At 58.2% G+C, this 14340-nt stretch overlaps 1 protein-coding gene across 55 annotated transcripts in view, besides 1 other annotated feature; it reads right to left on the reverse strand.

Moving 5' to 3' along the window:
* RBFOX3 (RNA binding fox-1 homolog 3) overlaps positions 1 to 14340 on the reverse strand; it is a 576227-nt gene that overhangs the window by 417720 nt on the left and 144167 nt on the right. For 6 of the 55 annotated variants that reach the window (NM_001385844.1, NM_001385829.1, NM_001385808.1 and 3 more), the window contains exon 1: positions 2380 to 2774. The exons of 45 other annotated variants lie outside the window; for them this stretch is intronic. The gene's annotated coding sequence lies outside the window, so the exon portion shown is untranslated. Of the gene's footprint in view, positions 1 to 1706; positions 1803 to 2379; positions 2775 to 2987; positions 3041 to 8890; positions 9057 to 14340 lie in introns of those variants that run through there. 4 more of the 55 variants (NM_001385835.1, NM_001385810.1, NM_001385832.1 and 1 more) reach the window with 3 other exon arrangements.
* Positions 1879 to 2536: an enhancer, noted in NCBI's record as "H3K4me1 hESC enhancer chr17:77505025-77505682 (GRCh37/hg19 assembly coordinates)". NCBI's record gives its function as "activates a minimal SCP1, AML or CMV promoter by ChIP-STARR-seq in primed H9 embryonic stem cells {active_cell/tissue: H9 hESC(primed)}" and the evidence as "EXISTENCE:reporter gene assay evidence [ECO:0000049][PMID:30033119]".

A 14340-nucleotide genomic window follows, 5' to 3' on the forward strand; every position in this document is an offset into this window, starting at 1 on the left:
GGGGGCAGGAGAGCGGAGGAGCCTGGCCGGAGGGCCTGGTGGTGATGGCAGACCCCCGGGGGAGGCTGGAGACACAGCCCCATTCTCCACACCCTGCAGCAGACCAAGCGGTGCTCCATCCCGCCTGCTTCTTATCAGACACCACTGGGTACCTCTGCCATCCCATCAGACACAACCGCCAGGGCCTCAGAGCACTGGCTGCGCCCACACCACCTGCCACTCAGGTGTTTTAAATGGGGCAGTCACCCCCTGAAGACCCCTGTCTCCTCTCAGCAGTATAGGCCTAAGCAGGGCCCGAGACTTATAATTCTGAGGTTGGAGGGCCTAAATTTGGCGTCCATGGGGGCGCCACAATGGGGCTCCTGCTTGGCAGTCCCCGCCCCACATGTCAGGTGCCCGCGGGATGCTGGGTGGGTTCTCGTCAACTCCATTCTCAGCCCCAGGGTGGAGACGGGGAAGGGTGGGCAGTCCTACTCCCCTGCCATTGTCCAGTCCATATCCCAGGTCAAAAGAGATTCAGAAGAAACAGAAGCCCTCCCCTCTCCTCAGACAAGAGCCCCCATGTCAGACAAGCCACAGCTGGTACTGCCACTCAGAGACATTGGCCACATCTTGCATCCTCAGGAGATGTCCATGAGGTCTCTTCACTGATAATGAGACCCTTCTAGAAGTTTCCAGAGACTTCTCTAATGACCACCCCAAAGGGAGAGTCTCCTCTCTCCTTTACAGGTGAGAGAACCAAGGCACGCACCAATGAGGTTGCACAGAGCAGGCCAGGAAAACCCACCCTGGGGAAGCTGAGCCTTCCTGGGCCTGGGCAGCCCATCACAGTGACAGGGCCAGTGAGGGGGCCACACACTCCAGCATCTGCCACCAGAATCCTTCACCAGACAGCTTTTCTCTAGCTCTTCCCACCAAAGACCTGAATGGGGCTTAGGAACATGGATGCTGTTGAGGACACAAGTCAGGGTCTGGCCCGTGGATTTAGGAGCCTCAATGGGACCGATTTGTAAACTGCCTGGTAACATGGAAAACACCAGCAGACTCCAGAGGCCACGGTGAAACCGGGGCAGAAAGGAAATCCCTGCATGAAAATGACGGCAGCCCCTGCGCTCGCTGGCCTTCTAGAAAAGCCCACCCGGTGGGCCGCTGGGAAGAGCAGGTGCCATGGAGGCCAGCGTCAGCTCCCCGAGAGGGGGTTCCTCCAGCACAGGGGCCTTCCGGAGGGAGGCTTAGTGGCTGGTGACCCAGTGCTGCCACCCCAGCCACATTGCTCCCTGGAGGTTTGCCAACATTGGGGGCGTCCTGAGCCGCCAGCCCAGCCCGACCTCCTCCGCCTGCCTGCCCGAGGCTGGGCCGCCGCCCACCGCCTCCCTGACCGCCCGAGGCCGCCCACTGCCTCCCTTGTTGTTATTCTTCTCAGTGCCTCCCTCCTCTCTCTGCTCCCCGCACCCCCACAGGCCTCTGCAGCACCGCGCTGGCTCGGCCGAAGCTGACTGGAGTTTTAATGACTCATCTGGGGTTGGGGTGGGCGCTCCGGCCCCAGGTCCACCTGCTGGATCCTTGCCAGCCAGCGTCCTCTGCCCCAGCAAGGGAAGCTTCGGGCTGTGCACAGCCCCCTCGCTGGGAGATTTGGAGAGCCCACCCGGTATACCGTGCACACCCCACACTCCGCACACCCCACACACCCCGCACACCCCACACACCTGCTGCTGCCAGCACAGCCATGTGTCCCCAGGGCAGAGGGCTGAGGCGGGCGGCAGGCGTCCATGCGAGGTGCCCCTGGCTGCATCCCTCGGCTTCTACAGGGCACACCAAAGCCAAGGACTTCTTGCATCACAGATTTTAAAACTTCTCCTGCAGCCTCAGACCACACCCCCAGTCCACATCAGGCTCTCAACCTCACCTGCAGGTCAGAAACACCTGGGGGGCTTGGAGCCTGACCCACGTCCGGGCCCCCCGAAGGCTGACGAAGTCAGAGCCCAGGGCAGGCAGACACTAGTATTGTAACAGCGTTCCAGCTGGTTCTTTGGCCGGTCTGAATGACCCAGCCCCAGGGCCCCGGCCCTGGGGTCTAAATCAACCACTGCCCCCATGAGGTTGTGGAGGGATCCGGGCAAGGGGCTGCAGAGCCGGGACACAGCAGGAGGACAGCGGGGTCCCCAAGGCGGCCTGGTCGATAGGAGCGCCAGAGCCGGTGTTTCAGCGTGGGTGGCTGTCTCTCTCTAGGACGCTGGAGCTACGGAGGCTACACAAACGGACAAGAAGAGAAGGGCCCTGGTCCTCCCCACACCCCCTCCAGCCCCAGAGCACATAGCTCAGCAAAGCCAGGGGCCCAGGCTCCCACTCTGCGGGTATATTTGTTCACTGTGACCTCACCTGCAGGTCCAGAAACACTTGGGGAGCTTGGAAACTGACCGATGCTCAGGCCGACGGAGTCTGAGTCCAGGGCAGGCAGGCACTTGTATCGTAACAGCGTTCTAGCTGGTTCTCCGGCTGGTCTAAATGGCCATACCATTCCCCACCCCAACCCCTCCTTCCCTTATACTAACGGTTCCATGGCAGGGTCGGCGCCTGGGAGAGCTATGAGGCCTCAGGGACCCGTCCCTTCCTTTCCCTCCGTCATCCATCAGCCGTCGCACCCCAGGCCCTCGGTGACAGCTGGGGTAGAGCCCAGGGTTAGGGTGAGGGCTGGGAGCTCCGGGCTGTGCATGGAGGGAGAAGCCAGGAGCCCAGGGCCTTGCCCTGTGCTTCCATGGACTCAAGGACTCTCCACCCCTCCCTGAGCCTCAGCTTCCCCAGTTGCCAAGAGCAGGCACTGCACTATGTCATCAGCAAAGATCCTTCCAATCCTACTTACTTGGGCATGACGCCTGGGAGAGGAGGCACAACCAAATATTTTCTAATATGCACATATTACCTTCATAACCCAAGAAAAATCAATTTTACAACAGGAGTCAATGCAGAAGGAGCATCCACAGCATTACCTCTGGTCCTCAAGTGGCGGCGTGAATGGCCTCACGCAACTCTGCCAACAGCCCGGCCCACCCACCAGAAGTTGGCCCTGCAGGTCAGCAGCCAAGTCTCCTGCAGTGGACGGGTGGTGGAATTGTCTGGTGTCGACAGAGGTGCCACGGAAAAGCCACCAGCCCTTCCCATCGGCAACAAGTTCCATCCTCCCGGCCAGGCCCCGGGACTCTCGGCTCCCTGTAACCAGCAAGCCCTGTCCCGCCAAGCCCCCACTTTAAATACTTTGTACCTGACCCGCTGCGCACCCACCGCCAGGTCTGACAAGCACGCAGGACACGACAAGGGGCCAAGGCAAGCTGCCCCTGCTGCTGGCACCCAGCCACCCTACCCTCAGACGACACACTCATTTCTGTGCACCCTCAGCCGCACCAAATCCCATAACCTTCATGTTCGGGGCCACAGGGAGAGGGGCACCGTGCCTGCGCAGCCCCTCCATCCCAGGCATCCATTAACATTCCCCGTGTAAAGTTGGGGCTGTAATTACAGCAAGTGATTAACAGGCCTGAGGTAGCCTGTCTGGGAGGGAGCAGATTAACAGCAGAGCTTGGGAATGCCTGCGCTCACCTCAGAACCACCAGTGCATCTTAAACAGGGCCCAGCGCCCCTACGAGCGGGTGATTAATGGAGGGGATGAGGACGGAGGACGTTTCCCTGGCATCCGTCACCAAACTTTTTCCTTTGGGCGCCTCCCTTGCTGGCCAGGCACAGTGGAGGGCAGGGGAGGGCAGCCAGGACTCGGGGCGAGCACCTGGGGCTTCCACCAGGGGCCTCGCTCTACCTTCCCCTGGGCCAAAGTGTACCCCCAAGCAGCAGCATCCTAGGGAGAAGGAGAGGGAGATGGAAGCAAAGCCCACAGGGCCGAATGCATCCCAGGAGCCAAGAACCTCGGCCTCCTTTGTCCAAATAGAAAATCTGAGGCTGCCCCCCAGAACCTCCTCCAGCCCCAGGCAACATTCAGGGCTGTGCTAACAGGGAAAGGCTCTGCCAGGACTGTCCTCATCCACGCAGGGGCACCAAGGTCAAGCAGAACAACTGCTTGGCTGGCAGAGGGCTCACGGGAGCCTCCACCTGGGCTGTGTCCTCCTGAGGGTCAGGGAAGAAACGGGAAGGGACTCTCCCTGGGCCAGGAGGTGTTTGCAGGGTTGTGATGTCCAGATATCCGCTTAGACGAAACTCTGTGTGTGTGCAGTGTCGTGGGGTGTCATGCAGTATGACATGTTACCTATGCATTTAGGTTTTAAACTACCCCCTTTTCAGTGCCTAATATGTGTCGGGGCTGGGGACACAAAGACAGTTTAGGGATGATCGTCCTGCCCATGAGGCTCTTGGTCTTGCAGAGGAGGAGTCGTGGAAATGGGATAATTGCTGGAGGGCTCTGTGAGCAAGAGCTGCACAGCAAAAGCAAAGGGGATGCAGCAGTTCTGCCCGTGTGGGGTGAGGGCAGCAGCAGGAAGGGCTTAATAGAGGAGGTAACCCTGCAGTGAACCGTGATGTCAGGTGAGAATTTATCTGTCAGGCAACATGGGCCAGATGCATGTTACCATCTAGCACAGCCCCATGGCCAGGGGACACCCACCCGGATACATGTTACCATCGGGTACAGCCCCATGACCAGGGGACGCACACCCGGATACATGTTACCATCGGGTACAGCCCCATGGCCAGGGGACACACACCCAGATACATGTTACCATCGGGTACAGCCCCATGGCCAGGAGACACACATCCGGATACACGTTACCATCGGGTACAGCCCCATGGCCAGGGGACACACGTGCAGATACATATTACCATCGGGTACAGCCCCATGGCCAGGGGACACCCACCCGGATACGTGTTACCATCGGATACAGCCCCATGGCCAGGGGACACCCACCCGGATACATGTTACCATCGGGTACAGCCCCATAGCCAGGGGACGCACACCTGGATACATGTTACCATCGAGTACAGTCCTATAGCCAGGGGATATACACCCGGATACATATTACCATCGAGTACAGCCCCATGGCCAGGGGACACCCACCCAGATACATGTTACCATTGGGTACAGCCCCATGGCCAGGGGACACCCACCCGGATACATGTTACCATCGGATATAGCCCCATGGCCAGGGGACGCACACCCGGATACATGTTACCATCGAGTACAGTCCTATAGCCAGGGGATATACACCCGGATACATATTACCATCGGGTACAGCCCCATGGCCAGGGAACACCCACCCGGATACGTGTTACCATCGGATACAGCCCCATGGCCAGGGGACACCCACCCGGATACATGTTACCATCGGGTACAGCCCCATAGCCAGGGGACGCACACCTGGATACATGTTACCATCGAGTACAGTCCTATAGCCAGGGGATATACACCCGGATACATATTACCATCGAGTACAGCCCCATGGCCAGGGGACACCCACCCAGATACATGTTACCATCGGGTACAGCCCCATGGCCAGGGGACACCCACCCAGATACATGTTACCATCGGGTACAGCCCCATGGCCAGGGGACGCACACCCGGATACATGTTACCATCGGGTACGGCCCCATGGCCAGGGGACACCCACCCGGATACGTGTTACCATCGGGTACAGCCCCATGGCCAAGGGACACCCACCCGGATACGTGTTACCATCGGGTACGGCCCCATGGCCAGGGGACACCCACCCGGATACGTGTTACCATCGGGTACGGCCCCATGGCCAGGGGACGCACACCCGGATACGTGTTACCATCGGCTACGGCCCCATGGCCAGGGGACGCACACCCGGATACGTATTACCATCGGCTACGGCCCCATGGCCAGGGGACGCACATGCAGATACATGTTACCATCGGGTACAGCCCCATGGCCAGGGGACACCCACCCAGATACATGTTACCATCGGGTACAGCCCCATGGCCAGGGGACACCCACCCGGATACGTGTTACCATCGGGTACGGCCCCATGGCCAGGGGACACACATGCAGATACATGTTACCATCGGGTACAGCCCCATAACCAGGGGACACACACCCAGATACATGTTACCATCAAGTACAGTCCTATAGCCAGGGGACATACACCTGGATACATGTTACCATCAGGTACAGCCCCATGGCCAGGGGACACATACCTGGATACATGTTACCATCAGGTACAGCCCCATGGCCAGGGGACACACACCCGAATGCATGTCACCATTGGGCACGGTCCCATGGCCAGGTGACACACACCCAGATACATGTTACCACCAGGCATGGCCCCACGGCCAGGTGGCCCACACCAGGATGCATGTCATCATCAAACATGGCCCCGTGGCCAAGTGGTACACATCTGAATACATTCACCATTGGGCATGGCTGTGCCATGGCCAGGTGGCACATACCTGGAAGCATTCACCATCAGGCACAGCTGCCCTGACCATACCCCCATCCTCCTGTGGACCCCCATCCCCACAGTGGGGGCCTTTCTTGGTGAAATGGCACAGCAGGGTGGTGAAAGGGCCTCCTTGGAACCAGACTGCTTGAGTTTGAATCACAGCTCTGCCTCTTACCAGCCACGTGGCCTCGGGCAGGCTGCATGATCTCTCTGAGCTCCAGTGTCCTCCACTCCACAGTGGGAGCCGCACAAGCTTGCCTACCAGAAAGAACCGTCAGTGAGGCGGTACAGGCGCTGGGCACTTCACACAGCCTCCTGGGGCCAGCACACAGAGCCATTTCTCCCGAGTGTGGTTCCTGGGTCTATGGGGGCCCGCGTGCCCTAGTGGGCCTCTGTGGTTGGCCTTCTGGGCCTGCCCCTGCACATCTGGTAGCCAGCTCACCCCTGCTTCCCCTAGTCTAACTTGGAATTTGGCTAGGGCTGCCAATCAAGATGCCCTGCCCACCATGGGCATGTGACCAGACCTGCCAATCCTTGAAGCACTGTGATTGGTCCAGGGGCAGGCACGTGACCTCAGCCAGGCCAATCGGTGTACTTTCCTGGTATTTACCCCTCTGGAGTTGCTGGGTGGGGACCATGTGTATCAGACTTGCCTATGACAGCCTCCTACCATCTCCACCCTGTGCTGGACAGAGGAAGCCACTGGAAGCAGCAGAAAACGCGGCCAACACTCCTGGGATTCTGCTCACCTCCCAGCGTCCACACAGCCAGGCACCCCCTCACCCCACCCTTCCCAACAGCATGCACCTCTGCAGTGGGCTACATTCAGAACATGCACCTGGGTATCCGACACACGGGTACACACTCGGCGGTCACGCAGACATGCACTCCCTGGGCCCAGCACTGGTCCAAGCAGTGGGCCACTATTGCCTCACTGAGTCCTCTCACACCTGCCAGGTAGGTTCTAGAACCACCACATTCACAGATGAGGTCACGGGTGCGTGGCCTCACACACCCAGGTGGCCTGAGTCACGCCTCGTTGTTGTGATCTTGACAAAGCACCGCTGTCTCCTGGATCTCGGCAACCACACAGCGATATCCTGCCCTTTTGTGGCCACTGCCCGACAGGCTCTGGGGCCACAGGCAAGTTTCCCTGGCTGCCACCACACCCCTAGTGTCCCTCAGCAACACCACAGCCACCCCTAGTAACCCTGGCCCTAACCCACAGCATCTAGCACAAGCCTCTGGGTGGCATCTGCATCCCCCCAGGCCATGTGGATCCACTGGACCCTGGAGCATTTCTATTTGGTTAAGGCCACAGCTTGGGAAGGACAAAGATGGCCCAGTGCATGTGAACGTCCTCTGTGCACTGTGAAATGGAACCGTGCAGAAGCTGTGGTTGATGTGGAGCTGTTCTCTTGGGACTTGGTGGGACAGGATGGGGAGCTTTCCAGAAAGACCAGACAGGAGGCTGGGGCTCGGCGCTGCCCCATTCCTAATCCCCACTTCCCTAGAGCCGTCACCTCTTTGCTGCCTGGGGTGAGGGAATTCTCCCGACTCTCCAACACACCTTCGGGTGTCCTGAGGCAGAAGTTGGCCTCTGCCTGGGTCCCTCAGCCTGGGTGCACCTGGTAACATCTGGCCCCACCCACACATCTACGGGAAGGTAGAACTTGGCAGAAGGGCAGAAGACCCTTTCCGGAGGAGCAACACTCAAGCCAAGTGCTGAGCTTCCATCTGGATCAGCAGAGCCCTGCTCTGGTGAAGCCCTGTGGCAAGCCTCCCACTGCTCCCCAGGCCAGGTCACCTCATAGCTGGGGCCCCTGGGGGTGTGCAGTGCCCAGCCTACAGCTGGGAGACAGCACATGGCCCAGGGCCCAGTGATCCAGCCACTCCCCCATCTGACCCCCACGCAGCTCCCGGCCATGTGTCAAGCCACTTGTACCCCAGGTCTCTCCCATCTCCTGTGTTACACTGATCCCCTTCCCTGAGACTTGCAGGAGCTCATCGACAGGGTTACAAGAGAACCGCAATCGGAGAAGAGCCACCAGCACATAGAAAAAACGAGAAATGCTGGCCGCTGGCAGCACAGTTCCTTCTCAGAGTCTCTGCTCTGCTCTTTCCTTGAGGATGTTTTCTCTTCCCTCCATCAGAAAACCTGTTTGCCTTTCAGTTTCAACCCAATGCCACCTCCCACATTGCCCCTAAGTACCCACCCTCCTCAAGGAGGTATCTGCCCCTTCTCTGGGTCCTTGCTGTGGCAACCACACACCATGTTAGTGTGGTGGGCAGGCATTCGAGGCTCCCGGCTGAGGTTGCACCGCTTCAGAGTCCGTCGCCACCCTTCACCCCTGCACCGAGCCCCACACGCTACTAGCACATCACAGGGACTAAACTGCTGCTGGGTGGATTGGCTACAGGCCTTCTCCAGCAAGGAACATAGTTTATCTTCTTCCTTCCAGAAACCTAGCTTTAATCGAGGCGCTCACCTCCAGGACCGAAGTCAAGGTGTCCTCGACTCCAACAGCCTTGAGTCCAAGGCTCTGTGTGCCTACAGCCAAGAACATTTCACCAGGCCAACAGAGAGAGAGGAGAGAGTCAGAGAGAGAGAGCAGAGAGTCCGAGAGAGAGAGGCAGAGAGAGCACGCACAGCCTGGCCAGGAGCACCAGCTGCTGCTGTATCAGTCTGCATTCTCTGGGCATGACAAATGTTCAACACAACAAACGAAGAAAAATGAACCATTTCCATTGCCTAAAATACTCCCATCCCCACGGGGCTTAAGATAAAAGTAAGAAGGGACAGACATTGAATTGAAGAGAACGCAGGTGGCCATGAGTTCTATGAAATGCCCACGTGTGGCCACACTCCCCTCCCTGGGCACCCCTGCCTTTCTACCAGCATGCCCGGGCCTGCCCCCTGCCCTGGAGAACCAGGATACCCAGCTCCTGGGCAGAGAGACACAGGCTCTCACCCCATGTAGGATTAAATGAGGCTAACTCAAAAGAGCTGCTTCATAAATATTCACGTCCAGCCCAGAGGGGCTCCAGGCCTTAGAAAGAGCCAGAGCTCTGTTCACGCCCCGAGGTCAGAGTTCATCCCCAGAGGAGGTCCTGGGACCCTCATTCCTCTAATTACTCCTGAGAGCCTGGCCCAGATGGTAGAGACGGGATGGAAAGTCTCAGGTAACTCAGATGAGAAGCTAGGAGCAGCGAGATGGAGCCACAGACTTGGGGCCTCCCCAGGTGTGCCCTCCGAAAGCACGCTGGAGCAACACACTGTGCATGGATGGATGGACGGACAGACGGATGGACGCGATGCGCTGGAACGATCCCTGCCCCAGGAAGAAAGGAAGCTCTGACACACGCTGCAATATGGATGGACCTCGAAAACGTGACGCCGAGACAAGCCAGACACAAAAGGTCGGATGTCGTACAATCCACAGTCCACCCCTCGGGGAGTCATACTCGTAGACACAGAAGGTAGAATGGGGGTTGCTGGGCTGGGGATGGGAATGGGGAGCCGGTGTTTCATAGGGGCCGAGCTTTGGTTGGGGAAGATGAGAACGTTCTGGAGGTGGATGGTCACGATTGCACGGCAATGTGAAGGTGCCGAATGCCACTGGCTGAACTGTGCCCTCAAAATGGTTCGTGTGGTAAGTGTTATGTCATGTGTATTTTATCACAATAAGAAAAAGGAGGGCCGGGCGCAGTGGCTTACGTCTGTAATCCCAGCACTTTAGGAAGCTGAGGCAGGTGGATTACTTAAGGTCAGGAGTTTAAGACCAGCCTGACCGACATGGTAAAACCCTGCCTCTACTAAAAATAAAAAATTAGCCGGGCATGGTGGCAGGTGCCTATAATCCCAGCTACTTGGGAGGCTGAGGCAGGAGAATCGCTTGAACCCAGGGGGCGGAGGTTGCAGGGAGCCAAGATCATGCCACTGCACATCAGCCTGGACTATACAGTGAGAGTCTGTCTCAAAAAAAAAAAAAAAAACAAACAAAAACAAAAGAAAGGAAGGAGGAAAATGATGGAGGATGAGACGAAAGGAAGAGTTCTGAACTTTGGAAGCGGGAGTGGGGTTCAGGGGCCCCCATTCCTATGGCTGAGCTCTTGCTCAGTGCTTCAATTACTCAGCAGGGAGAGAGATTGTCAGGACAACTCAAAAACTCCAAGGTGCAGTGAAAACCCCACCCAGCCCACCACTGGCCTCTCACCCACAGCTTCAAAGAGGGAAGGCCAGGGAAAAACCCCACGGTCATTAAATAGATTGTGTTGGGGGAAAGTTATCATTTCGGTAACATCGACGGAAACATCAGGAAATTTCCGCTTCTGAGACACATGATCTCCATCCTTCCTTCCCTCTGGCAACTTCAGGAGCCGCCTCGCCTGTTCCTGACTCAACACCAAAGCTCCCGGCAGATCCCTCACCTTCTTGAAAGCAGCTAGCCCGAGGTCTGACCCGGTATTGATCCTGAAGTGCAGACAGGAGGCAGCCGGAGAAACCGAACGAGACTCCCATAATTACATGGAGATAAGACTATCAGGTGTAATTAAACAGTATCCACAGGCAGACCACTTGGCTACATCCTCCGTCTCTCCCCTCCCTCCTCCTCCTTTTCCCCAGGACTGCAAAATAAATTATCCTGTGAAGTCAGCAGAGGCTGAGCTATGGAAACAATTAAACAGAAATTAAATCTAATTCATTTATACTCTGAGCACAAGTGGATAATGTAGGTTTTTTTCTCTCTCTCTCCTCTTTTCGCCTTGGTGTTAGAGAGGACTATTATGGGAAATTAATCACGAGACATGGCAGTGAAAGTGATCTATCACTCTTTCAAGCGCACAGACCCACTATATACGATCTATGACAGCAGCTACAAATGTGCGAGTGACACTGTTTGGGAGAAGCGGGCAGGCGGGGATGGGGGCGCCTCACGGAAGCCCCTGTGATGGCCTGGCCGGGGCCCCAAGTCCTCCGGGTCGGATGGTGCTGGAAAGTGCCTTGTACACGAGTTTCCCTGGGCTTGCTTAGGTGTCTCCAAAGCCTGGCTCATACCCACGTGGGGGAAACACTGTAATCCCTGAAGGCTGGGGGAGCTGGGGCCTGGACGGCTGTGGGGAAGCCTACTGGATTTTTCTCCCACCACTGGAAGGGCAGGCCTGGCGGAACAGCCCCTGGGAGGAGGACCTGCAAGAACAAGCCAGGCCTCAGGCTCCCCGTGCAAAACCGGGGTTGAGGCCCCCTTGCCGTGCCTTCCCTAACAGAAGCAACACGGTGCAGAGTAGGGGTCAAATGAGCAAACCCACAGGAAGGCATTGAGGAAGGAAAGCCGCAGAGTGGTGTCTAGCTCTGGGCCCACAGAGGCTCGCTCCAGCTTTCCTGCTTTCAAGAGAAACAATTTGGAAAATTGTTTTCCCGTCGTAGGGAGGGTGGAGATGGCATAAATAGAACATTTCCTCCAAATGAAGGGAGGGCCGAGGCGGCCACGGCCAGGAACGGCCAGAAGGAGAAAGCCAGCCATCGCGGGAGACGCGTCTTCAGGATGCTGTACCCGGGAAGCACCAAGAGAAGCCCGGGGCTGGCAGCTCCCCCTAAGGCCTGGGGACACCGGGCCCCCGAAACAGATGCTCCGGAGGTAAACCAAGGAGCTGGGGAAGCCCGAGCTTTGAACTCAGCATAAAAATCGGAAGAAACAAAGGCCAGTTTCTATTCTGCTTCTCTCTTGAAGGGCAGGCAGCCCTCTCGGCAGATGGGGCCATCCCTGGGAGCCTGCACACCCCACGCCCCCACCCCCAGGGCTCACACTCCCCACAGAGTGCTCCTGCCATGCTCTCAAGGAAGCAGAGCAAGAGACCTGCCAGTGACGGCAAGCAAAGGTGTGTCCTGCAAGTCCTAAGCCCTCTGGCCCTGGAATGGCCCCGGCTTTGCAGCCCACCCAGCTCAGAGGTGGGACCGAGCTAGCCAGGACCAGGGTGGGTACGGGGAACAGAGCCCCTCAAGAGGGAGGAGGCCACAGCCCTGCTTCCCTGCTGAGAGGAGACGGCTCCCCACCCATCCCCTCCCCTTTACCTGTCCTGTCCATGCTGTCAGGATCACAGCATCCATCATCACACTGTCAAGCGTCAGTCTTACCTGGAAGGTTTGGCCCTTGACCCTGGCTCCTGGGAGGTCACCCCTAAGCCCTTGGAGTAGCCTGCCTGAAAGAGCATCCCTGTTTACCTCGGGCCCCACCATGTCAGCTTGACCCTTGGAGTGGCTGGAGATTGAGGTCAGCACCTGGGTGGTCAGTCACGTCTCCATGACTGAGACCCAGTAAAACTCTGGACACCAGGGCGGGGGTGAGCGTCCCTGGCTGGCAACACCCATATGTGCTGTCCCGCATGGCTGCTGCGAGAGGACCAGCAGAGCTCCTGGCTGGTCCCCGGGACCCTGCCCTGCCTCTGCGCTGCTCCCCATGGCTGGTTTTCCTCTGCATCCGTTCACTAGAATAAGCTGTCACCTCGAGGATGGTGGCTGTGCCGAGTTCTGAGTCCTAGCAACCCTCAACCTCAGTGGTCCACAAAGCCCGTTGAAAGTCACCAAGCCAGGTCTCCCCTGTGCAGTCGAGGACACCGAGGCCCAGGCTTGAGTGAATTGCCCAAGTCATGCAGCTCCATGGGTGAGGGGGCTGGGACCAGTGTCCCTCCCAGCCTTGCCCCGCCTCCTCCCCTGTGGAGTGGGGCTCACCGGGCAATGTGTCAGCCAGTGGCAGTGTGACAACGCCCCAGGCGGGCAAAGCAGGTGACGAGGCAGCAGGGCAGGAGACAGCAGGGGTGGGACGCAGGCTGCTCCCCGTCAGCCGGAGACTGGGGACGTGCAGGGCAGCTGCCAACCTGCATCTCCGGGGACAGCAGTGAGGACTAGAAGGAGCATGTCGGGCCAAGGCAGGGAGCAGCCTGGAGCTGCAGCTGAGCGAGCTGCCCTCCTGTGCGCACGTGCCAGGGTCCAGGGGTCAGGTGCCAGGAACACAGGATGCGCATTAAAACCCCAGCCCATACTCCCGCACCCAGACACACACGTTCCCACACCGCCTGCCCCCTGCCACCAGCCCACCAGCCGTCTCCCTCTGCTCTGCCTCATGCACAGGGCCAGAGGCCTAGAAGTGATTAATGTCCTCGGCCACCTGAGCCTGACATCTCGGCCTGGGGACAGCCGGCGCCACCCTGCAAAGAGGCCAGCACCTGCCACGGGGCCTCAGGCTGGCAGAGCACAAGGGTGGGGTTCGTGTTGGACTCCCCTCCAGGGCGGCAGGGAAAGAGTCGGGCCCTCCCGGCTGGCCGGGTGCCACACAGCCTCCCCCGGCAGACACACTCGCACACAGCTTCCAGACTGGCTTCTATTTGAAGTCGCCCCATGCTGCAAGAGGTCCCCACCAGATCCAGCTACACGAATTATAGTCCTCAGAGCAAAATGCAACTGGGAGGCCCTTGTTTGAATCTCACAATGGTGACGGCAGAGCACTGAGCCAAGCACAAGCCCTCCCGAGCAGGGAGCACACGGGTGAAGCCAGCTTGGCTCTGCTGCCAGCGCCACTCCTGGCTGTCTGGGAGGGGCCGGAAGACACGCAAAGAGGATGGGGGGCATGAGAGACACAGCTTGTCCCCCTTACACCAGGTAAAGCCAGGCACCTGCTTTACCACAGTGACCACAGCAATGCACCAGTACATACAGGCATGCACAGACACACACAGATACACACTCACGCTCAGACACACACACACACATTCTCATGCCCAGGCACACACACACTCACAGACACACGCACAGACACATGCACAGACACACTCACAGATACACACACATGCTCAGACACACACATTCATACACACATTCACACACTCACACTCAGACACAGATGCAAACACACTCAGGCACAAACTCACATACACAGACACA

This window comes from Homo sapiens, chromosome 17 (assembly GCF_000001405.40).
Source record: "Homo sapiens chromosome 17, GRCh38.p14 Primary Assembly".
Taxonomy (NCBI): Eukaryota; Metazoa; Chordata; class Mammalia; order Primates; family Hominidae; genus Homo; species Homo sapiens.